Source organism: Homo sapiens, chromosome 3, assembly GCF_000001405.40.
Source record: "Homo sapiens chromosome 3, GRCh38.p14 Primary Assembly".
Classification (NCBI taxonomy): domain Eukaryota; kingdom Metazoa; phylum Chordata; class Mammalia; order Primates; family Hominidae; genus Homo; species Homo sapiens.
Genome location: NC_000003.12, coordinates 138,862,608 through 138,887,441, shown reverse-complemented (window position 1 = coordinate 138,887,441; position 24,834 = coordinate 138,862,608). Strand labels below are relative to the sequence as shown.

Sequence of the window (24,834 nt, the reverse complement as noted above, 5' to 3'; positions counted from 1 at the left end):
ACACAAAAATTAGGGCCAGGCATGGTGGCTCACGCCTGTAGTCCCAGCACTTTGGGAGGCTGAGGCAAGTGGATCACCCGAGGTCAGGAGATTGAGACTACCCTGGCCAACATGGTGAAACCCCCGTCTCTACTAAAAATACAAAAATTAGCCAGGCATGATGGCGCGTGCCTGTAATCCCAGCTACTCGGGAGGCTGAGGCAGGAGAATCACTTGAACCTGGAAGGCGGAGGTTGCAGTAGCTGAGATCTCGCCATTGCACTCCAGACTGGGTGTCACAGCAAGACTCTGTCTAACAACAACAACAACAAAAAGTAGGCATGTGTGGTGGCAGGCCCCTGTAATCCCAGCTATTTGGGAAGCTGAGGCAGGAGAATCACTTGAATCCGGAAGGCAGAGGTTGCAGTGAGCCGAGACTGCGCCATTGCACTCCAGCCTGGGCAACAAGAGCAAAACTTTGTCTCAAAAAATTAAATAAATAAATAAATAAATAAATAAATAAAATAAAGTGATATAATAGATTCTTAAAAACTATTCAAGTTTGCTTAAGACAGCAAAATGTGAAAAACTCATCTCTCCTCACCACCCAATCATTATTGCCCATTGTAGGCCAGGAACCCCAGGAAATAGACTCTGGAACAAACTTGTGTGCGGATGGTTCATTGGCAAATGCTCTTAGAAACGTGTAAGGCAGTGAGAAAAGCAAGATCTGGCACAGAGAGAAGTTAGGTTGTGATGCAGTTGCAACAGAGGCTTCAGCAGTCCTTCAGGGAGCTCTGAAGCTAGGATGGCCATTCAGAATTGTCCCAAACTGAGGCAAAGGGGAGATGCATTTATATCCCATAATATTCAGTCATTGGATGCAATCTGTCCTTAGGCAGGAACTTAAACTTCGCAAAGCAGCTACCCACAACTAAAATCGCAGTCTGGCGAGGCACTATACAGTAAGCTGTCAGCAGGCAACATTCCTGGCAACTGGAATAAGTGGTTTGTACTAAAGAGGGGCATCTAGAGAACACACCACAGTAGCTACTAGAGCCCTAAACTCCTATTCCTCTCCTGATACAAAAATTAGCAGTTACATGTGTATCCTTCAAGACCTGTGTTTTTGTTTCTTTTTCTTCTTCTTCTTTTTAAAATAAAACAATTGCAAAATATTTTCATATTACAGATGTTCAATTTCATCAGATGCCTTTTTTTTTTTTTTTTTTTTTTTGTGAGACAGAGTCTTGCTCTGTCACCAGGCTGGAGTGCAGTGGCACGATCTGGGCTAACTGCAACCTCCACCTCCCGGGTTCAAGCGATTCTCCTGCCTCAGCTTCCCGAGTAGCTGGGACTACAGGCGCATGTCACCATGCCCAGCTCGTTTTTTGTATTTTTAGTAGAGACGAGGTTTCACCATGTTGGCCAAGATGGTCTGGAACTCCAGACCTCGTGATCCGCCCACCTCAGCCTCCCAAAGTGCTGGGATTACAGGTGTGAGCCACGGCGCGCAGCTCATCAGATGCTTTTTTGACATCTCTTGTAATTATCATATGGTCATCCTCAAGCTTATCTGATTCTCAAGATTTGAATTGAAAATGTGCGAGCACAGCAAAGAACATTTTGGAAAATAATCAATAATGAAGCAAGTTGCCTTATCAGATAGCAAATCATAGTAAAAAGCAATAGTAATCTACACAATATGACATCATTGCATGGATAAACAAATGAATGGAAATGAATAGAAAATCCAAAAACATATTATTTTATATATGAAAATATTTTGTCTATAATAAAGATGGAATTTTTCCAGCCTGGGCAATATAATGAAACTCTGCTTCTATAAAAAAATTAAAAATTAGCCAGACATGGTGACCTGCCATCTGTAGTCTCAGCTACTCGGGAGACTGAGACCTCCTTGAGCCAAGGAGGTTGAGGTTGCAGTGAGCTATGATCAAACCACTACGCTCCAGCCCGAGCAACAGAGCGAGACCCTGTCTGAAAAAAAAGAAAAACAGGCTGGGCGCGGTGGCTCACGCCTGTAATCCCAGCACTTTGAGAGGCCAAGGCAGGTGGATCACGAGGTCAGGAGATCGAGACCATTCTGGTGAACACAGTGAAACCCTGTCTCTACTAAAAATACAAAAAAAAAAAATTAGCCGGGCGTGGTGGCGGGCACCTGTAGTCCCAGCTACTCAGGAGGCTGAGGCAGGAGAATGGTGTGAACCCGGGGGGCGGAGCTTGCAGTGAACCGAGATCATGCCACTGCACTCCAGCCTGGGAGACAGCAAGGCTCCGTCTCAAAAAAAAAAAAAAAAAAAAAAAACAGAACAAGAAAGAAAAGAAAAAGAAAAACAAAGGCCGGCTGCGGTGGCTTACGCCTGTAATCCCAGCGCTTTGAGAGGCCAAGGCGGGCGGACCACCTGAAGTCAGGAGTTCGAGACCAGCATAACCAACATGGAGAAACCCCGTCTCTACTCAAAATACAAAATTAGCCAGGCATGGCGGCACATGCCTGTAATCTCAGCTACTCAGGAGGGTGAGGCAGGAGAATCATTTGAACCCAGGAGGCGGAGGTTGTGGTGAGCCGAGATCGTGCAGTTGAACACCAGCCTGGGCAACGAGAGCAAAACTCCATCTCAAAAAAAAATTTTAAAAATGGAATTCTCAAATCAGTGAAATGGAATGAGTGTTCATGGCATGGTACGGGGCAATCAAATATTTAGAAATAAAATTAAAGCCAGGCACACTGGCTCATGCCTGTAATCTCAGCACTTTGGGAGGCTGAGGTGGGCGGATCACCTGAGGTCAGCAGTTTGAGACTAGCCTGGCCAACATGGTAAAACCCCATCTTTAGTAAAAATACAAAAATTAGCTGAGCGTGGTGGCAAGTGCCTGTAATCCCAGCTACTCAGGAGGCTGAGGCAGGAGAATCAATTGAACCTAGGAGACGGAGGTTGCAATGAGCTAAGATCGTGCCACTGCAGTCCAGCCTGGGTGACAGAGCAAGGTTCCATCTCAAAAAAAAAAAAAAAAAGAAAGAAAGAAAAAGAAAAGAAAAGAAAGACAGTGACAAACAAAAGACAATAAAGGTTTAATTTATAGAAGAGATATAAACATTTAATAAGGATACAAAAAGTTACTCATTCTTACTAGTAATAGAGAAATGTGGGCTGGGCGCAGCGGCTCACACCTGTAATCCCAGCACTTTGGGCTGCTGAGGCAGGCGGATCACCTGAGGTCGGGAGTTTGAGACTAGGCTGGCCAACATGGTGAAACCCCGTCTCTACTAAAAATACAAAAATTAAGCGAGGTGTGGTGGCTCACGCCTGTAATCCCAGCACTTTGGGAAGCCAAGGTGGGTGGGTCACCTGAGGCTGGGAGTTCGAGACCAGCCTGACCAACATGGAGAAACCCCGTCTCTACTAAAAATACAAAATTAGCCAGGAGTGGTGGCGCATGCCTGTAATCCCAGCTACTCGGGAGGCTGAGGCAGGAGAATCGCATGAACCCGGGAGACGGAGGCTGCGGTGAGATGAGATTGCACCAATGCACTCCAGCCTGGGCAACAAGAGCGAAACTCCGTCTCAAAAAAAGAAATACGAAAATTAGCTGGGTGTGATGGCACACGCCTGTAATCCCAGCTACTTGGGAGGCTGAGGCAGGACAATCACTTGAACCCAGGAGGCTGAGGTTGCAGTGAGCCAAGATTGCACCACTGCACTCCAGCCTAGCCACAGAGCAAGGCTCTGTCTCAAAAAAAAAAAAAAAAATAGAGAAATATTAATTAAAACAACATAATATCATCGGGGCAAGTAGAATTATCAATAATTTTTAAATATAGTAATATTTATTACTGGCAAGCTGTGGAAGAATGATCACTCTTTCTTATTGTTGAGCAGAAAATAAATTGGTGGGCCTTTGGAAGAGCAATTTGGCAAGTTATGTCCAGAATTTAACTGCATATACCTTGGGCCCATAACTTCCACTTCTCTAAATTGATCCTGAAGAAACACACATGTATACAGGGAAGTACATGCAATAATTTCGAATACAGAATAGACTGTAATTACAAAAGATTGGGAATGACCTCTATATTCATTGATAAGCAATTTAATCAAATTATAATACATTCATGCTATAAAAGACTAAGCAGCAATTTAAAAGAATGAGCTATTGAATGTCAGGAAAATAGTGAAAAAAAGAATGAGGGCAGGTGCGGTGGCTCACACTTGTAATCCCTGCATGTTGGGAGGCCAAAGTGGGCAGATAGCTTGAGGCCAGGAGTTCGAGACAAGCCTGGCTAACATGGTGAAACCCCTTCTTAATTAAAAATACAAAAATTAGCCAGGTGTAACGGCCAGGCGCAATGGCTCACACCTGTAATCCCAGCACTTTGGGAGGCCGAGGTGGGTGGATCACAAGGTCAGGAGTTCGAGACCAGCCTGGCCAATATGGTGAAACCCCAACTCTATTAAAAATACAAAAATTAGCTGGGCATGGTGGTGCTCGCCTCCATGGTCCCAGCTACCTGGGAGGCTGAGGCAGGAGAATCGCTTGAACCCGGGAGGGTTGAACCCGGGAGAATCGCTTGAACCCGGGAGGCAGAGGTTGCAGTGAGCCGAGATCACACCACTGCACTATAGCCTGGGCGACAGAGCCAGACTCTGTCTCAAAAACAACAACAAAATTGGCCAGATGTGGTGGCACAAACCTGTAATCCCAGCTACTTGGGAGGCTGAGGGGAGAGAATCACTTGAGTCCGGGAGGCGGAGGTTGCAGTGAGCCGAGATCACACCACTGCACTCCAGCAAGGGCAACAGAGTGTGACTCTGTCTCAAAAAAACCAAATAATGAGGCTGGGTGCAGTGGCTCACGCCTGTAATCCCAGCACTCTGGGAGGCCAAGGCTGGCGGATCACAAGGTCAAGACATCAAGACCATCCTGGCCAACATGGTGAAACTGCGTCTCTACTGAAAATACAAAAACTGGCTGGGTGCGGTGGCTCACACCTGTAATCCCAGCACTTTGGGAGACTAAGGTAGGCGGATCATGAGGACAGGAGATCGAGACCATCCTGGCTAACACAGTGAAACCCCGTTTCTACTAAAAATACAAAAAATTAGCCAGATGTGGTGGCGCGCACCTATAGTCCCAGCTACTCGGGAGGCTGAAGTAGAAGAATCTCTTGAACCTGGGAGGCGGAGGTTGCAGTGAGCCAAGATCGTGCCATTGCACTCCAGCCTGGGTGACAGAGCAAGACTCCAACTCAAAAATAAAATAAAATAAGATACAAATACAAATACAAATACAAAAATTAGCTGGGTATGGTGGCGCGTGCCTGTAGTCTCAGCTACTTGGAAGGCTGAGGCAGGAGAATTGATTAAACCTGGGAGGCAGAAGTTGCGGTGAACCGAGATCCCACCATTGCACTCCAGCCTGGGCGACAGAGCCAGACTGTGTCTCAAAATATAATAATAATAATAATAAAATAAATTTTAAAAAGAATGAGATAGAGCTGACATTGATAGATCTTCAATACATAGTGCTAGGAGAAAAAAATTGATAATGTTTAAATATATTTAACCTTATTTAAATGTACACATGCATGTATACACACAATGAATTTTTTGTTTTTTTGAGACAGGATCTGGCTCTGTTGCCCAGGCTGGAGAGCTGACATTAATAGATCTTTAATACATAATGCTAGGAGAAAAAAAAATGATGTTTAAATATACTTATCCTTATTTAAATGTACACATGCATGTATACACACAATGAGTTTTTTGTTTTTTTGAGACAGGATCTGGCTCTGTTGCCCAGACTAAAGAGCAGTGGCACAATCTCGGCTCACTGCAATCTCTGCCTCCTGGGCTCAAGCTGCCCTCCCACCTCAGCCTCCTAAGTAGCTGGGACTACAGGCACACACCACCACACCCAGCTAATTTTTGTAGAGACTGGGTTTTGCCACGTTGCCCAGGCTGGTCTCCAACTCCTGAGAGCTCAAGTGATCTGCCTGAATCAGCTCTTATAAATCCTGGGATTACAGGCATGTGCCACCTCACCCAGCCACAATAAATTTTTATCAGTGGTTATACCTTGGTATTGACTGGCATTGAATGCTGTTGACTCTTGGGTGAAGTGACACTTTCACTTTCTTTCTTTCTATTTTTTTTTTTTTTTTTTTTTTTTTTTGGGATGGAGTCTCACTCTGTGGCCCAGGCTGGAGTGCAGTGGCACAATCTTGGCTCTCTGCAACCTCCACTTCCCAGGTTTAAGTGATTCACCTGCCTCAGCCTCCCGAGTAGCTGGGATTACAGGCATGTGCCAGCATGCCTGGCTAATTTTTATATTTTTAGTAGAGACAGGGTTTCACCATGTTGGCCAGGCTGATCTCAAACTCCTGACCTCAAGTGATCCACCCAACTTGGCCTCCCAAAGTGTTGGGATTACAGGTGTCAGCCACCGCACCCAGCCTTACTTTCCATATGTATTTTTCTGTGTGATTTGAAAATTTTACAATAAGCCTATATTATAATATTTTTGTAATTTGTAAAACAATTTCAAATAGGTAAAGGTAATAGAGAGTAGTAAGATAATACAAAAGAATATAAAGACAAATCAAAACAATAGAATATAATACAAAAGAATATAAAGACAAATCAGCTGTAATCCCATCATTAGGAGAAAACCTCTGTCAAGATTTTTAAATGAAATATTTTCAGCTCCTTTTCTTTGTATAACTACTTTTTAACTTAGCTGAGATGCAGACGGAATAGTATTCAAATTGTGTTTATCCTTCTTTCCGCACTTTGGTTTTCTACCCAAATAAGTTATCTAGTCTGGAATTCTCCCTCCTCCATTGAAGTCACTATCTTTTTTTTTTTTTTTTTTTTTTGAGATGGAGTCTCGCTCTGTCACCCAGGCTAGAGTGCAGTGGCGTGATCTTGGCTCACTGCAACCTCCGCCTCCCAGGTTCACGCCATTCTCCTGCCTCAGCCTCCCGAGTAGCTGGGACTACAGGCGCCCGCCACCACGCCCGGCTAATTTTTTGTATTTTTTAGTAGAGACGGGGTTTCACCGTGTTAGCCAGGATGGTCTCGATCTCCTGACGTTGTGATCCACCCGCCTCAGCCTCCCAGATTGCTGGGATTACAGGCGAGAGCCACCGCGCCCAGCCTGAAGTCACTGTCTTCCTTCAGGCTATGCCTCTGGGTAAAAGTCAATGCCTCATTGCTCTGGGACTCTCCTTTGCTGAGCGCTAGCTTGAAACTCCAGATCCTAACCTGTAAGGCAGGGGAATGGCCCAGCAGGAGCCACTACCACCTGGTGCTGTGAGTGTCAGACGCTTTTTAGCATGTGAGAAGTTCAATGCGGGGCTAAGGCTGACTTTGATTGTCGAAACAACTACTCAAAACACAATCACAAATTAGTTCAGTCACATAGACTGAACTTTGATCCCTCTGTCTGGGTGGCAAGGCAGTGTGAGCTGGAAAGAGGGAGTTCTCCTGTCACTGAAACCCAGTCAGGAATATCTTGAGTCTACACCAAGGCAAAATCCACACTGCTGGTTTAGAAGGGAGTTTAAACAATGCTCCTTTAAACTTAAACAATGAGCAATAGGAGCAGGTCAAACTTGGGCATGGGTCTCAACCTGAAATCTACTTGCAGCATCCTCCCAGGTCCCGGCCACACCTGCACAGAACAGCACCAGCACAACTGATGAGCAGAGCCCTATGCATAGGCGACAGGGCTCAAGAGCCACCAGTTGGATTAGTATCTGAATTTAATCCAATCGGGATCCTGCATAGAATGGGATAAGAATCCACTGATAGGCCAGGTGCAGTGGCTCACACCTGTAATCTCAGCACTTTGAGAAGACAAGGCAGGAGGATAGTTTAGGGCCAGGAGTTTGAGACCAGCCTGCACAAATTAGTGTGATTCCATCTCTTCCTACAAAAAATAAAAATAAAAAAGAATCCATTGATAAATTATAAATATTGAGGGTAAACTAGGCACAATGGCCTATGCCTATAATCCCAGCTACTTGGGAGGCCAAGGGAGGAGGATTGCTTGAGACCAGGAGTTTGAGATTAGCCTGGGCAGCATAACAAGACCACATCTCAAAATAAAACAAACAAACAAAATATTTGGAGTATAAGAGTCAAGAAGGAGGCTGGGTGTGGTGGCTCACACCTGTAATCCTAGCACTTTGGAAGATCAAGGTGAATGTACTGCTTGACCCCAGGAATTTGAGACCAGCCTGGGCAATATAAGGAAACCCTGTCTCTACAAAAACATTTTTAAAAAATAATAGTAAAGCATGGTGGCCTGTACCTGTAGTCCCAGCTACTCAAGGGGCTGAGGCGGGAGGATTGCTTGAGCCCCAGAAAGCTCCTTTAGCAAACAGATGCTGACTTATAAATAAAAAACTATGGCAATAAGATTCATCTTTGAGGCCAGGCATGGTGGCTCATGCCTGTAATCCCAGCACTTTGGGAGGCCAAGGCGGGTGGATCACTTGAGGTCAGGAGTTCGAGACCAGCCTAGCCAACATGGTGAAACCCCGTTTCTACTAAAAATACAAAAATTAGCCAGGTGTGGTGGCTTGTGCCTGTAATCCCAGATATTTGGGAGGCTGAGGCAGGAGAATCACTTGAACCCAGGAGACGGAGATTGCAGTGAGCCAAGATTATGCCACTGCACTCCAGCCTGGTGGCAGAGCAAGACATAGTCTCAAAAAATAAAAAAAGATTCATCTTTGGAATGGCCAAGGTCTCTATGAGGCCAGAAACCTGCCACCTCTTTACACCCTCAGTTCTCCTACTATACTAAGGAGTGCCACCAATGTTTGTGGTTGGTGGCAAAGGTATTGAGTTTCTGTAGTCAAATCTGATCATTCCCACCAAGGAAGTGGAGAAAAGGCAAAAATAATCTAAATAATGACTCCATTAATATATTTGATTTTGAAGTGTATTGTGTGATAATTTTATGGTAAATTACCTTTATATTCACCTTTTAGTGAAAAAAATAGTTCCTGAGAACGAATTAATTAATTAATACAGGTATCTGTCCTCACATTGAAAAAACTGCAGATGTCCTTGGAGGATCCTTCCAACAGAAACACACTCTCCCTGGCCGGGCACAGTGGCTCACGACTCTAATCCCAGCACTTTGGGAGGCTGAGGTGGGAGGATCACTTGAGGTCAGGAGTTTGAGACAAGCCTGGACAACATGATGACAGCCCCATCTCCACAAAAAAATGAAATTAAAAAATTAGCCAGGTGTGGCCAGGTGCGGTGGCTCATGCCTGTAATCCCAGCACTTTGGGAGGCCGAGATGGGTGGATCACAAGGTCAGGAGATCGAGACCATCCTGGCTAACACAGTGAAACCCCGTCTCTACTAAAAATATAAAAAATTAGTGGCGGGCGCCTGTAGTCCCAGCAACTCAGGAGGCTGAGGCAGGAGAATGGCGTGAACCCAGGAGGCGGAGCTTGCAGTGAGCCGAGATCACGCCACTGCACTCCAGCCTGGGCAACAGAGCGAGACTCCATCTCAAAAAAAAAAGAAAAAAGAAAAGAAAAAATTAGCCAGGTGTAGTGGCATGCTCCTGTAGTCCCAACTACTGGGGAGGCTGAAGTGGGAGGATCACTTGATGCTAGGAGGATGAGGCTGCAGTGAGCAGCGATCACTCTACTACACTCCAGCCCGAGCAACAGAGTGAGACCTTGTCTCAAAAAAAAAAAAAAAAAAGTGAGGTCAACTTAAAATGTAGAATTAACCTTATTTCAGCCAAGTAAGTATTAAAACTTATAGTTTCCAAGAACACATTGCTGATAGGGAAGGAAACTGGCAAAGAGGGAGACTCCAAGAAAGAATGAGTAGAGACTCACACACCAACATCAACACACACAGAGGAGACAGATCAAGGGGGTAAGCCACAAACAGACCATAGAAGGCCAGTGGCTGCAAGTGAAAGAAATCCAACTCAACTAGCTTAGACAAACCACAGAAAGAGCCTCTAGATATCAACTCTGATCTCCCTCAGACAAGTTCCTACAAGTGAATGGAAGAACAACTGTTGGCAGTTTTCAGACCACATCTCCCAGCTACCCCACCCAAGAAGAACTGCACTCTTTCCTTTCGTATCAATTCAAACATCCTGGTGCAGAACTGCGGGTCTAGGGAGGGACAGGAGGGAATGTCCAGAAGAAATGAGAAGATATGAGGCTGCAATTAAAATATTAAATGTCTTCCACGTGGAATCATAATTCTAATTGGCTTCTGTTCTTTCTGGTTATAAATGCATCATTGTTTCCATAAATTCAGGAAAGATGTAGATAAAACAGGAGGTTAATGAACACAACTGTATCCCTCATCTACATCAACAGCATCATTATTTTCATTTATGGGTATATTCTGTTGATTAGCTTTTATGCTTATTAGCTTTTGATGGAAAATGACACATGAAAATTTGAACATGCTGATCATCTTTGGTAACCATCCTACATTTTTTTCTGTAGTTCTACATTGACTCTTCCCTTCTACTTCTTTTTTTTTTTTTTTTTTTTTGAGATGGAGTCTCGCTCTTGTTGCCCAGGCTGGAGTGCAATGGCGCTATCTCGGCTCACCGCAACCTTGGCCTCCCGAGTAGCTGGAATTACAGGCATGTGCCACCATGCCCGACTAATTTTGTATTTTTAGTAGAGACAGGGTTTCTCCATATTGGTCAGGCTGGTCTCGAACTCCTGACCTCAGGTGATCTGCCTGCCTTGGCCTCCCAGAGTGCTGGGATTACAGGCGTGAGCCACTGCGCCCGACCCCCTTCCATTTCTGTTATGTGGTCCATTAACAAGAATAATTCCAAAGACTTAAATGTAATATTTCAGAATTGATCACACATTGTATACCCCAGTAGATAGATTCAAACCAACGTCTACTTGGAAAGGAATTCATTAAAGCTCTAGATTTGTGCTCTGTGACCTTGGGCAGATCCTTTAGTAATTTAAACTTCAGTGCCATTCTTTGTGAAATGGATACTATTACCCATTTAGCAGGGGTACTGGGAGGACTAGAGATAACAAATGTTTAGCACAGGGCATGAAAGGCCCAATATATGGCGCTAATTGATTTTAGTCAAAGCTATTCTCCTATAGATGCCCTGAGAGATCTGTATCTAGGTTGGGAGGACTCAGAAGTCCTCCACTATGCACTCACCTGCCCAAGGTACACACAAAGCAAACAATCATCAGTTTACAGGGGTCTTCCCTCTTTCAGCCCAAATTACCCTGCACAGCTCACAGCCCATTTGATCTTCTTATTGCACCTCCTTGCAACATGACTTGCATTAACTCAAACTACCACTAACTCCTACATTGTTCAATGTTTCACTATCAGTTGCCAAACTGACCTCATTTCCTGCCAAGCTAAACTCATTTCCGTTTCTGATAGGGTTACTAAACTGGATGGTTTCCGAGAATATTGGAGACACAGTGTATCTGAAATTCTGCAAGAGGGTAGATAAGGTCCCGTGGTGTCTCTGTGGCCAGGAGGAAAAGTGGGAGACAGGGCAGTTAGCAGGAGTCATAACTGGCCAAACAACAGCTCCTGAATCCCTTTGATTGGACTCAGAAGAAGTCTGGTTATGAGATATGCGTAAGTGAAGATACGTTATCTTGGAACGCGAGAACTGAGGTCATAAAAAAATGTCCTGTAAGATCTAGAGTAGGGATCCCATTCACTTATTCATTTAACAAATATTTATTGAGTGCCTACCTGTAATGTGCAGGGAACTGTATAAAGGATCTGGGAATAGAAGAGAATGAAAAAAAAAAAAAGAAGAGAATGAAACAGGCTGGTCACAGTGACTCACACCTGTGATCCCAACACTTTGGGAGGCCAAGTTGGGCAGATCATTTGAGCCCAGGAGTTTGAGACCAGCCTGGGCAACATAGCGAGAACTTGTCTCCACAAAAAAAAAAAAAAAAAAAAAAAAGTTGTTTAAGAATAAAAATAAATTTTTAAAAAACAAGGTGGGCTGGGCGCAGTGACTCATTCCTGGAATCCCAGCACTTTTTGGGAGGCCAAAGCGGGAGGATCACTGGAACCTGGGAGTTCAAGAACAACCTGGGCAACAAAGTGAGAGCTCGCCTCAACAAAAAATTTTAAAAATTAGCTGGGTGTGGTGGCACATGCCTGTGGTCCCAGCTATACAGGAGGCTGAGGCAGGAGAATCACCTGAGCCCAGGAGGTCGAGGCGGCAGTGAGTTGTGATAGTGTCACTGCACTCCAGCCTGGAAAACAGAGCAAAACCCTATTAAAAAAAAAAAATTGGTAGAGGGAGGAAAATATGCATATTGGCTGAGAAGACTCGATATTATAAAGATGTCAATTCACAAGAAATTTATATATTTAATATAGTCAATATTAAAATATTTTTTAAACAATTTTAAGTTTTGCTGTAGACCAGGCTGGAATCTCCTATAAGCCATTATCCTATAGATGCCCTGAGTACAGTGGTGCAATCATAGCTCTCTGTGGCCTCAAATTCCTGGGCTCCAGTGACCCTCCTACCTCAGCCTCCCAAGTAGCTGAAACTACAGGCTCACACCACCATGCCCAGCTAACTTTATAAAATTTTTTTGTAGAGACAGGGTCTCACTGTGTTGCCCAGGCTTGTCTAGAACTACTGGCCTCAAGCAATTCTCCTGCCTCTTAAAATAGTAGGGTATAGGCTGGGCACAGTGGCTTATGCCTATAATCCCAGCACTTTGGGAGGCCAAGGGGGGCAGATCACCTGAGGTCAGCAGTTCAAGTAAGAACAGCATGGCCAACATGGCAAAACCCAGTCTCTACTAAAAATATAAAAAATAGCTGAGCATGGTGGCTCACGCTCACGCCTGTAATCCCAGCTACTCCGGAGGCTGAGGCAGGAGAATTGCTTGAACCCAGGAAGCGGAGGTTGCAGTGAGCCGAGATTGCACCACTGCACACCAGCCTGGGCAACAGAGCAAGACTCCAACTCAAAAATAAATAAATAAATAAATAAATAAATAAATAAATAAATGTAATATATTATGAAGGTGATATTTTATTTCTGCAGAAAAAGATGGATTATTCAATCAAAGGTGTTGGGAAATCTGGAGAGCCATCTAGAAAAAAAGTAAATTGGATCAACACTTCATGCTTTGTATCAAAATAAACTACTTATGGAGCGTTACATGTAAATGCTTGTTCCCTGGTGCCACAAAGAAATAGCACTTCAACATAAATTTAATCCTCTTAGCAAGGCAATCTTTACTTTCTGCAGAAAGGGTGCTCATTGCCGATGGAATAATGGCGAAAGCATACCTGAACAAAGGAGGGAAGCAATTTTTATTCCTTACGCAGTTTGTCCCTGCTACTGTGTCCTGTCTCCATTGGCTGGAGCCAGACCACACAATCTAAACTAAAACCTGATTGGCTAACAGTTTAAAACTTTTCTAAATAGGTGAAAGGAATGGAAAGACAAAGGAAAAGAGGAAATTGCTTATGCCAAATAAGGAAGGGGCATAGGCTGCGAGCTGGAACGTGCCTGTGAGCATGTCCAGCACAAATATTTTGCTTAAGGTACAAGGACATAGAATGTACTACGTGCCTGTGAGCATGTTTAACAGCTACGTAGGATAGAGCCTAACAAAAAGTTATTAGCATACAGTAAGGAGGCTTAAAGGAAGTTAGTCTTTAAAAAAAAAACTATTATTTCTAACACTTATGATTTATTCCTTAACAAGAAGGGAAAGTTTAAAGAGGAACTTTTTACTTTCTACATGGAGGAAAGATTGAAATATGAAAAGTGAAAGCACAAAAGTACTAGATGAGAACATGGGAGAATTTTATTTTATTTTTTTTGAGACAGAGTTTTGCTCTTGTTGCCCATGCTGGAGTTCAATGGCGCAATCTCGGCTCACTGCAACCTCTGCCTCCCAAATTCAAACAATTCTCCTGCCTCAGCCTCCCAGAGTAGCTGGGATTACAGGCATGTGCCATCACACCCGGCTAATTTTGTATTTTTAGTAGAGACGAGGTTTCTCCATGTTGGTCAGGCTGGTCTTGAACTCCTGACCGAGGTGGGTGAGCCACTCACCTCGGCCTCCCAAAGTGCTGGGATTACAGGTGTGAGCCACCATGCCCGGTCAAAAATTTTTATATATATACAATCTTGCTATGGACAAGCTTTCCTCAGGATGGTAAAGCAAACACACAAATAAATAAATAAAATAAGAAGCGGTCAAAGAAAATGTTAATAGGCCAGGCGCAGTGCCTCACACCTGTAATACTAGCACTTTGGGAGGCCTGAGGCAGGCAGATTGCCTGAGTTCAGGAGTTCGAGACCAGCCTGACCAACATGGTGAAACCCTGTCTCTACAAAAAATACAAAAAATTAGCCAGGCTTGGTGGCACTCCTGTAGTTGCAGCTACTCGGGAGGCTGAGGCACAAGATTGCTTGTACCTAGGAGGTGGAGGTTGCAGTGAGCTGAGATGGTGCCACTGCACTCCAGCCTGGGCAACAGATCGAGATTCTGTCAAAAAAAAAAAAGAAAGAAAAGAAAAGAAAGAGAGAGAGAGAGAAAAGAAAGAAAGAGAGAGAGAAAGAGAAAGAAAGAAGAAAATAAAGAGAGAAAGAAAAGAAAGAAAGAAGAGAGAGAACGAGAGAAAGAAAAGAAAGAGAAAGAAAGAAAGAAAGAAGATTGATTCAAGTGGTGGCTCATGCCTGTAATCCTAGCAAAGCAGGGGTGGATCACCTGATGTCAGGAGTTCGAGACCAGCATGGTGAAACCCCTTCTGTACTAAAAATACAAAAATTAGGTCGGGCATGGTGGCTCACGCTCATAATCCCAACAATTTGGGAGGCTGAGAAGGGTGGATCACCCGAGGTCGGGAATTCAAGACCAGCCTGACCAACGTGGAGAAACCCCATCTCTACTAAAAATACAAAATTAGCTGGGTATGGTGGCGCAGGCCTGTAATCCCAGCTACTTGGGAGGATGAGGCAGGAGAATCCCTTGAACCTGGGAGGCAGAGGTTGCGGTGAGCCGAGATCGAGCCATTGCACTCCAGCCTGGGCAATGAGAGTGAAACTCCGTCTCAAAAAAAAAAAAAAAAAAAAATTAGACAGGCGTGGTGGTGGGCACCTGTAATCGCAGCTACTTGGGAGGATGAGGCAGGAGAATCACTTGAACCCAGGAGGTGGAGGTTTCAGTGAGTCGAGATTGAGCCATTGCACTCCAGCCTGGGCAACAAGAGTGAAACTCCATCTCAAAAAAAAAAAAATTATATATATATATATATATATATATTTGGGCCAGGCGTGGTGGTTCATGCCTGTAATCCCGACACTTTGGGAGGCCGAGGCAGGTGGATTACCTGAGGTCAGGAGTTTGAGATCAGCCTGGCCAACATGGTAAAACCCTGCCTCTACTAAAAAATACAAAAAATTAGCCTGGAATGGTGGCATGTACCTGTAATCCCAGCTACTACAGAGGCTGAAGCAGGAGAACTGCTTGAACGTGGGAGGTGGAGGTTGCAATGAACTGAGATTGCGCCATTGCACTCCAGCCTGGGCGACAGAGCGAGACTCTGTCTCAAAAAATAAAAGAAAAATATTAATTCCCACATGGAGAAAAACATTATGAACAAAGTCATAAGAAAAGTAACAAACTGGGTGAAATTTTTTAAATTTATTTATTTATTTATTTGAGAAACAGTCTCTCTCTGTCACCCAGGCTGGAGTTGCAGTGGCGTGATCTTGGCTCACTGCAACCTCTGTCTCCCATCCTGGGTTCAAGCTATTCTCCTGCCTCAGCCTCCCAAGTAGCTGGGATTACAGGCATGCGCCAGCATGCCTCACTAATTTTTTTATTTTTAGTAGAGACAGGGTTTCACCATGTTGGCCAGGCTAGTCTCAAACACCTGATCTCAGGTGATCTAACTGCCTAGCCCTCCCAAAGTGCTGGGATTACAGGCACCCACCACCACATCCAGCTAATTTTTATATTTTTAGTAGAGACGGGGTTTCACCATGTTGGCCAGGCTGGTCTCAAGTGACTGCCGTGACTGACCTCAAATGATCCGGCAGCCTCAGCCTCCCAAAGTGCTGGGATTACAGGTGTGAGCCACTGCACACGGCCTTAAATTTAAATTAAGTGAAATACAACAAATATATTGAAAAGAAAAATAGCAAATAGAAAAACAGGTAAAGGATATAAACAGATAATGTACAGAAAAATTAACATGAGCAATCCTTATGTTTACGAAAGAATATTCAGCTTCATTCAAAATAAAAGAAGTGCAGATTAAAACAGCTAGGTGTAACAATTTTTGCCCTACCAAACTGACAAAGGCTAAAAACAAATATAATTAATAATCTGATAGAAATAGGGGAAAAGTATCTCATCATTGAGGGAAGGAGTTTAAATTGGTACAACCTCTATTGAGTGCAATTGGCAATGTCTATCAAAATAACAAATGAATATGCCCCTTGATCCAGCAATTCTGCCTTTAGGTATTTATCCTGCAAGTTTGCATACACTCATGGAAAACAAAAGATGTATAGTCAGTTATTCATTGCAGCCTTGTTTGTAATAGCAAAAAATTGGAAACATCAAAATATTCATATACAGGATATTGACTTAAATGATATATCTATACAATGAAATGCTATACACTTATTAAAATGAATAAAACAACTGTATGTAATGGTTTGATGTCTAAGATATATTTTTTCTCTCTTTCTTTTCTTTCCTTTTTTTTTTTTTTTTTTGAGACAGAGTCTTGCTCTGTCACCCACGCTGGAGTGCAGTGGCACAATCTCGGCTCACTGAAACTTCATCTCCCAGGTTCAAGGAATTTTCCTGCCTCAGCCTCCCAGGTAGCTGGGACTACAGGCTCAGGCCATCAGGCCTGACTAATTTTTGTATTTTTAGTAGAGACGGAGTTTTACCATATTGGCCAGACTGATCTCAAACTCATGACCTCAAGTGATCCGCCTTCCTCAGCCTCCCAAAATGCTGGGATTACAGGCGTGAGCCACTGCGCCCAGCCTTTTTTTTCTTATTTTATTTTATTTGTTTATTTTTGAGACAGAATCTCACTCTGCCACCCAGGCTGGAGTGCAGTGGCCCGATCACAGCTCACCGAAGTCTCAACCTCACGGGCTCAGGTGATTCTCCCACCTCAGCCTCCTGAGTAACTAGGACTACAGGCATCAGCCATCACACCCAGCTAATTTTCGGTTTTGTAGAGATGGGGATTCGCCACATTGCCCAGGCTGGTCTCGAATTCCTGGGCTCAACTGATCTTCCTGCCTTGGCCTCCCAAAGTGCTGGGATTACACGCGTTGGCCACTGCACCAGGCCCTAAGATATATTATTAAGGGAAAAATATTATATATTGTATGCTAATACTTGCATTTAAAAAATAGGCTCGGTGTGGGCCGGGCGGGGTGGCTCACGCCTGTAATCCCAACACTTTGGGAGGCCAAGGCAGGCAGATCACGAGGTCAGGAGATTGAGACCATCCTGGCCAACACAGTGAAACCCCGTCTCTACTAAAAATACAAAAATTAGCCAGGCATGGTGGCACGCACCTGTAATCCCAGCTACTGGGGAGGCTGAGGCAGGAGAATCGCTTGAACCCGGGAGTCAGAGGTTGCAGTGAGCCAAGATCGACACTGCAGTCCAGCCTGGTGACAGAGTGAGACTCAGTCTAAAAAAAAAAATATATATATATATATGGGCTCAGCGTGATGGCTCACGCATGTAATCCCAGCACTTTGAGAGGCCAAGGTGGGTGGATCACCTGAGGTCAGAAGTTGGAGACCAGCCTGGCCAACATGGTGAAACCCAATCTCTACTAAAAGTACAAAAATTAGCCAGGCCTAGTGGCACGAGGCCTATAATCCCAGCTACTAGGGAGCCTGAGGCAGGAGAATCGCTTGAACCCAGGAGGTGAAGGTTGCAGTGAGCCAAGAGTGTGCCACTGCACTGCAGCCAGGGTGACAGAGTGACAGAGTGAGACTCTGTCTCAAAATATATATATATATATATATTTTATATATATATATACACACACACACACACATATATAAACTTATAAGCATCGTAAATGCATAGACAATTTCCAGAAGGATACACATGGAAGTAGTAACAGGGATTGCTGTTGGGGAGTAGAACCAAGGCGCAGAAGGGAAAGGAAGGAGACGAAAGAGACTTTCTCTTCATTGTGTATTCTCTCTCTAATTTTTTTTTTTTTTTTGAGAGGGGGCTCTCGCTTTTTATTTTTATTTTTTTGTGAGAGGCAGTCTCGGCCATATTCTCTTATTCTATTTGACTTTTATATTACACACATGTTATTTAAGTTTAAAAACAGATTAAAATTGGGCCGGGCGCGGTGGCTAACGCCTGTAATCCCAGCACTTTGGGAGGCCGAGGCGGGCAGATCACGAGGTCAGGAGATCAAGACCATCGTGGCTAACAACGGTGAAACCCCGTCTCTACTAAAAATACAAAAAATTAGCCGGGTGTGGTGGCGGGCGCCTGTAGTCCCAGATACTCAGGAGGCTGAGGCAGGAGAATGGCGTGAACCCGGGAGGCGGAGCTTGTAGTGAGCCGAGATCGCGCCATTGCACTCCAGCCCAGGCAACAGAGAGAGACTCCGTCTCAAAAAAAAAAAAAAAAAAAATTAAAATTTAAAGTATGAGGTGTCGGGAAGCGGAGGTTGCAATGAGCCATCGAGCCACTTCACTCCAGCTTGGGTGACAGGCGAGACTCTGTCTCAAAACATAAATAAATAAATAACAAAAATAAAGTGTGGGGTGTAAATCTTCATGTATGTGTTTGCACAGTATAGAAAATAGTCATCCTCATCAATCTGTGATAGTCCTTCACAGACAGTGGGGAAGCAGAAGCGAGAGTTCCAAGGTGAAGTTTGACTTTTTTACTCACTCTGCCACATTGTTTAAATGTGTCACATTAAGTATATATTACTTTTCTAAATTAAAAGAAAAATTAAATTAATGGTGGCTTCTTCCCCAGAGAAACGTTGGTATAAAGTTGAAAAGACTATTTTCAGAGTACCTTGTAGGGGGAGTTCCACTGTGGTAGGGAATTTCAGACCAGGTGGGTCTCTAGGCAACCTTCAAAATAAAACATTCCTTAGTTCTAAGATCCATAACTCTAGTTGGACTGGCATTATTTCTCCAACTGGATTATAAATTCCTTAAGGACAGGAAGTCTGGGTTTTGGTTTTTAAAAAAATCCCCTTCATCTTTTACACAAAGATACATAAATTTGACAAATAAAATGTGTCACTTGAATGCAGGGACATCTGTTTTTTCATATCCAATATAGTGTAGTCTTAGTGCCCAGAGCTATAAGGTCACATATTGTTATTCTAACCTTTGTATCAGAGAGAAACATAATACAGTTTTCCTGGTATAGAAGGCTCAGTCGGCCGGGCGCGGTGGCTCACACTGGTAATCCCAATACTTTGGGAGACCAAGGCGGGTGGATTACCTGAGGTCAGGGGCTCAAGACCAAACTGGCCAACATGGCGAAACTCTGTCTCTACTAAAAATACAAAAATCAGCTGGGCATGGTGGCAGGTGCCTGTAATCCCAGCTACTTGGGAGGCTGAGGCAGGAGAATCACTTGAACCCAGGAGGGGGAGGTTGCAGCGAGCTGAGATCACACCACTGTACTCCAGCCTGGGTACCAAGAGTGAGACTCCGTCTCAAGTGAAAAAGAAGGCTCAGTCAGCACATTCTGTCTTTGGTTGGCAAAATAAGAGTTTTTTTGTTCAATGTCAGTAGACCCAGAAGTTTGGCCTGCACACTGCCACGATCCCAATTTATGCCACACCAACAACACGGCTACAGGTCTGCAGCGTTGATTTTTCCCTGGTCATGCACTTGGCTTTCTAATTAATTATCATTGATCCCTCTGCCAAAAGTAACAGCTACAACTACAGAAATAGAGAATGGTCTTGTGGGTTGGGTGCGATGGCTCATGCCTGTAATACCAGCACTTTGGAAAGCCAAGGGAAGAGGACTGCTTCAAGCCAGGAGTTCGAGACCAGCCTGGGCAAAAAAGCAAGACTGTCTCTATTAAAGAAATTTTAGCCCGGGCGTGGTGGCTCACGTCTGTAATCCCAGCACTTTGGGAGGCCGAGGCGGGTGGATCACTTGAGGTCAGGAGTTTGAGACCAGTCTGGCCAACATGGTGAAACCCCGTCTCTACGAAAACTACAAAAATTAGCCAGACGTGGTGGCGGGCACCTGTAATCCCAGCTACTCAGGAGGCTGAGGCAGGAGAATTGCTTGAATCCGGGAGGCAGAGGTTGCAATGAGCCCAGATTGCTCCACTGCACTCCAGCCTGGGTGACAAGAGCGAGACTCCTTCTCAAAAAAAAAAAAAAGAAATTTTAAAGATTAGCTGGGCATGGTGGCACACACCAATAGTCACAGCTACTCTGGGGGCTGAGGTGGGAGGATAGCTTGAGCCCAGGAGTTCAAGGCTACAGTGAGCTATGATGGTGGCACTGCACTCTAGCACACAAAGTGAGACCCCTGTCTAAAAAAAACAAAAAGAAACGAAAATGGTCCTGTGAGATTAAGCTGGTCAAAGAGACGTTTGCTTTATTTATTTATTTTTATTTTTTATTTTTATTATTATTATTTTTTTGAGACAGAATCTTCCACTGTCACCTGGGCTGATGTGTAGTGGTGCGATCTCGGCTCACTGCAGCCTCCACCTCCTGGGTTCAAGTGATTCTCCTGCCTTAGCCTCCTGAGTAGCTAAAATTACAGGCGCCCGCCACCATGCCAGGCTAATTTTTTGTATTTTTAGTAGAGATGGAGTTTCATTATGTTGGCCAGGCTGGTCTCAAACTCCTGACCTCGTGATCTGCCCGCCTTGGCCTCCCAAAGTGTTGGAATTACAGGCGTGAGCCACCGTGCCTGGCCGCTTTATTTTATTTTATTTTTATTTTATTATTATTAATTTTTAGACAGAGTCTTGCTCTGTCGCCCAGGCTGGAGTGCAGTGGCGCTATCTCAGCTCACTGCAAGCTCCACCTCCCGGGTTCACACCATTCTGCTGCCTCAGCCTCCCAAGTAGCTGGGACTACAGGCGCCCGCCACCACGCCCGGCTAGTTTTTGTATTTTTAGTAGAGATGCGGTTTCACTGTGTTAGCCAGGATGGTCTCGAGATCTGCCTACCTCGGCCTCCTAAAGTGCTGGGATTACAGGCGTGAGCCACCACGCCCAGCCCGCTTTATCTTATTTTTTAATTTTTCTTTTTCTTTTTCTTTTTTTTTGTTTTTTTGTTTGTTTGTTTGTTTTTTTGAGACAGAGTCTTGTTCTGTCACCCAGGCTGGAGTGCAGTGGCATGATCTAGGCTCACTGCAACCTCTGCCTCCAAGGTTCAAGCAATACTTGTGCCTCAGCCTCCCAGGTAGCTGGGATTATAGGCATGCACCACCATGCCCAGGTAATTATTTTGTATTTTTAGTAGAGACATGTTTCAACAAGTTTCACCATGTTGGCCAGGTTAGTCTCAAATTCCTGACCTCAAGTGACCTCCCATCTCGGCCTCCCAAAGTGCTGGGATTATAGGTGTAAGCTACTGTACCTGGCCTATTTTTTAAATTTTTCGAGATAGGGTCTTGTTCTATTGCCCAGGCTGGAATGCAGTGGCAGGATCACAGCTCACTGCAGCCTCAAACTCCTGGCCTCAAGCAATCTTCCTGCCTCAGCTTCCTGAGTAGCTGGGACTACAGGCACATGCCACCATGCTAATTATTTTCATTTCATTTCTTTTCTCTTTTTTTTTTTTTTGTGGGAATGGGGTTTCACCATGTTGCCTAGGCTGGTCTCCAACTCCTGGGCTCAAGCAATCCTCCTGCCTCAGTCTCCCAAAGTGCTTGGATTACAGTTCTAAGCCACTGTGCCCAGCCCTCTTCCTGTTTTTGGTACCCAGCTGCCCAGATAGTATGCTGAACACCACCCACTCCATATCCAGCACCAGAAGACAGCAGAATGACCTTAGTTTATAATGGCAAAAGAAATGCCCAGTTGAGCCCAGCCCAAATTGATGCCGACACAGAATGGCAAGTTAAATAGTTGTAGTTTACAGCACTACATTTGGGGCTAGTTTGATGTTATTTCTATTTTGTTAAAATAGGTGTGCACAATCCCAGCACTTTGGGAAGCCAAGGCAGGCAGATCACCTGATGTCAGGAGTTCAAGACCAGCCTGGCCAACATGGTGAAACCCTGTCTCTACTAAAATACAAAAATTAGCCAGGCATGGTGGTGGGCACCTGTAACCCAGCTACTCAGGAGGCTGAGGCAGCAGAATCGCTTGAACCCAGGAGGTGGAGGTTGCGGTGAGCCAAGATCGCGCCACTGCACTCCAGTCTGGGTGACAGAGCCAGACTCCGTCTCAAAAAAAAAAAAAAAAAAAATGGTATGCACATATAGAAGGAAAGTAGCATTGCTGTTTATACAAAAGAGAACTCACAGCCTTCTCTTTACCTGTGATGAAATTCAGGCAAAGAGACCTCTTGGCTAGGCAAGACTTACCATGGTCCCAACTACCAGCACAGGAAAAAATATATTGCAGAGAAAAGTTGTTTAAACAGTAAGGAAAATAAAGCCAGGCACAGTGGCTCATTCCTGTAATTCCAGCACTTTGGGAGCCTGAAGTGGGAGGATTGCTTGAGCCCAGGAGTTGGGGACCAGCCTGGAGAACACAGGGAGATCCCATCTCTACAAAAACCTTTAAAAATTAGCCAGGCTGGGGCGCCGTGGCTCTCGCTTGTAATCCCAGTACTTTGGGAGGCCGAGGAGAGCGGATCACTTGAGGTCAGGAGTTCAAGACCAGTCTGACCAACATGGTGAAAACCCATCTCTACTAAAAATATGCAAATTAGCCGAGCCAGGCCGGGCGCAGTGGCTCACGCCTGTAATCCCAGCACTTTGGGAGGCCAAGGCGGGCAGATCGCCTGAGGTCGGGAGTTGGAGATCAGCCTGACCAACATGGAGAAACCCCATCTCTACTAAAAATACAAAAAATTAGCTGGGCATGGTGGCGGATGCCTGTAATCCCAGCTACTAGAGAGGCTGAGGCAGGAGAATTGCTTGAACCCCAGAAGCAGACATTGCAGTGAGCTGAGATCGTGCCATTGCACTCCAGCCTGGGCAACAAGAGTGAAACTTCATCTCAGAAAAAAGAAAGAAAGAAATAATTAGCTGAGCCGGGGGTGGTGGCAGGAGCCTGTAATCCCAGCTACTCAGGAGGCAGAGACTGGGAGGCGGGGGTTACAGTGAGCCAAGATAGTGCCATTGCTCTCCAGCCTGGGTGACAGAGCAAGACTGCATCTCGAAAAAAAAAAAATTAGCTGGGTTGAGTGATACGTGCCTGTAGTCCCAGCTATGCAGGAGGCTGAAGTAGGAGGATCGCTTGAGGCAGGAAGGTAGAGGTTGCAGTGAGCTAAGATGGTGCCACTGCACTCCAGCCTGTGTGAGAGAGTGAGGCCCTGTCTCAAACACCAAAACAAAACAAAAAACACAAAATTATATGAACAAAATCACCCAACACAAATTTCTTCCCAAAGATGAAACTCTTTCTTCTGAGAGGCCCTAAACATGGCTGTTCAGCCACTATGAACTAATAAAGTTACACAGTGCTTGAGACCTGCTCTGGGTTATTTTCTGTGTTTCCAAGTCGAGTTAGGCTGGCTGATGCAACCCAATCCTGCCATCTCTTCACTAGCCATGAGTATCAGGTTGGCATGTGGAGTATACCTTCCTCAAAGGAATCAGTACCCGGTTGACCAGATCCCCACAGTGTTTCTCACTGTCTCCCATGAGTCACCAGGGCACACTCTGCATTTACAGCCCCGCCCATAACCAAGAAAGCTCTTCAGTTTCCTAGCTCCCTTCCCTGGCTTCTGCAGTAAGGTGTGACATTGACAATTATAATCTGGTACTTAGCCCTGTGGCTTCTGCTCTGTGCCAACCCTGGCTTTAGACAACCCTATGAAATCCTACAAAGGGTGGCATATCTGGCTGAAACCTCCCAGTGGGGGAAGGAAGGAGGGTTTAAGACAGCACTTTACTCAGTCTCCATGTAAATGAGCCCTTCCTGCAGGGGCCAGGGCCTCCTCAGTTTTCTGGGTCGGCATTGGACTTTGGACATTGGAACTGTCAGCAAGCCCTCTCACAGGAAAGGTGTTTGCCTTCCCAGTGGCAAACAGTCTATTATTCTAAACTTGGACGTGCTAGGACTGACTCATCCCTCCCTTGCGGCATCGATACTCGGTATCAGGCCACAGCCTAGCTGCAAAATCTCAGCTGGCTGGTAGTTTTCCCTCCTTCTCCGCCCACCCTGCTTCAACACGGTCCTTGATGCCAATCTCAAATTTCCCTGGTGGCTCAGCGCCCCAATTCAGCACTGAAGTTTTTACTTTTTTGCTTTCCCACACAAGCAAATATTTGTTAGTAATTTCCCAGCTCTTCATACTCTTGTGATTTCTTTAACCCACCTTTTGTAACCCGCTTTCCCTCTGCTCCAGGGTCTTGGTCATTACCTCTTCTAACTCAATTACATGACTTTCTTTTTTCCCACTTCCTCTTTCCTTCCATTGTTATGCAGGCGGAGGGGAGGGTGCTAAATGCACAAAAAGGAGAATTGGATTAGGTAGCAGGATATCTCACTGCTCTCTTCCTGGTTCTGCCCTGACCCTGAGTTCTCACTTTAATAAGCCGCACACCCACTCCACATGCTGTCTTCCCACTTGCAATGAGCCA

At 44.9% G+C, this 24,834-nt stretch overlaps 6 annotated features.

The window, feature by feature from the left end:
- Positions 6,499 to 7,377: an enhancer, noted in NCBI's record as "NANOG-H3K27ac-H3K4me1 hESC enhancer chr3:138598907-138599785 (GRCh37/hg19 assembly coordinates)". NCBI's record gives its function as "activates a minimal SCP1, AML or CMV promoter by ChIP-STARR-seq in naive H9 embryonic stem cells {active_cell/tissue: H9 hESC(naive)}" and the evidence as "EXISTENCE:reporter gene assay evidence [ECO:0000049][PMID:30033119]".
- Positions 7,378 to 8,257: an enhancer, noted in NCBI's record as "NANOG-H3K27ac-H3K4me1 hESC enhancer chr3:138598027-138598906 (GRCh37/hg19 assembly coordinates)". NCBI's record gives its function as "activates a minimal SCP1, AML or CMV promoter by ChIP-STARR-seq in naive H9 embryonic stem cells {active_cell/tissue: H9 hESC(naive)}" and the evidence as "EXISTENCE:reporter gene assay evidence [ECO:0000049][PMID:30033119]".
- Positions 11,073 to 11,806: a transcriptional cis regulatory region, noted in NCBI's record as "candidate enhancer chr3.4087 targeted for multiplex CRISPR interference". NCBI's record gives its function as "positively regulates PIK3CB gene expression with high confidence in K562 cells {active_cell/tissue: K562}" and the evidence as "EXISTENCE:mutant phenotype evidence [ECO:0000015][PMID:30612741]".
- Positions 11,445 to 11,630: a silencer, noted in NCBI's record as "fragment chr3:138594654-138594839 (GRCh37/hg19 assembly coordinates)". NCBI's record gives its function as "represses an EF-1alpha promoter that drives an FKBP-Casp9 reporter gene in an ReSE screen in HepG2 liver carcinoma cells {active_cell/tissue: HepG2}" and the evidence as "EXISTENCE:reporter gene assay evidence [ECO:0000049][PMID:32094911]".
- Positions 23,761 to 24,055: an enhancer, noted in NCBI's record as "tiled region #8152; K562 Activating DNase unmatched - State 5:Enh". NCBI's record gives its function as "activates a minimal TATA promoter and a strong SV40 promoter by Sharpr-MPRA in K562 cells {active_cell/tissue: K562}" and the evidence as "EXISTENCE:reporter gene assay evidence [ECO:0000049][PMID:27701403]".
- Positions 24,132 to 24,673: an enhancer, noted in NCBI's record as "OCT4-NANOG-H3K27ac-H3K4me1 hESC enhancer chr3:138581611-138582152 (GRCh37/hg19 assembly coordinates)". NCBI's record gives its function as "activates a minimal SCP1, AML or CMV promoter by ChIP-STARR-seq in naive H9 embryonic stem cells {active_cell/tissue: H9 hESC(naive)}" and the evidence as "EXISTENCE:reporter gene assay evidence [ECO:0000049][PMID:30033119]".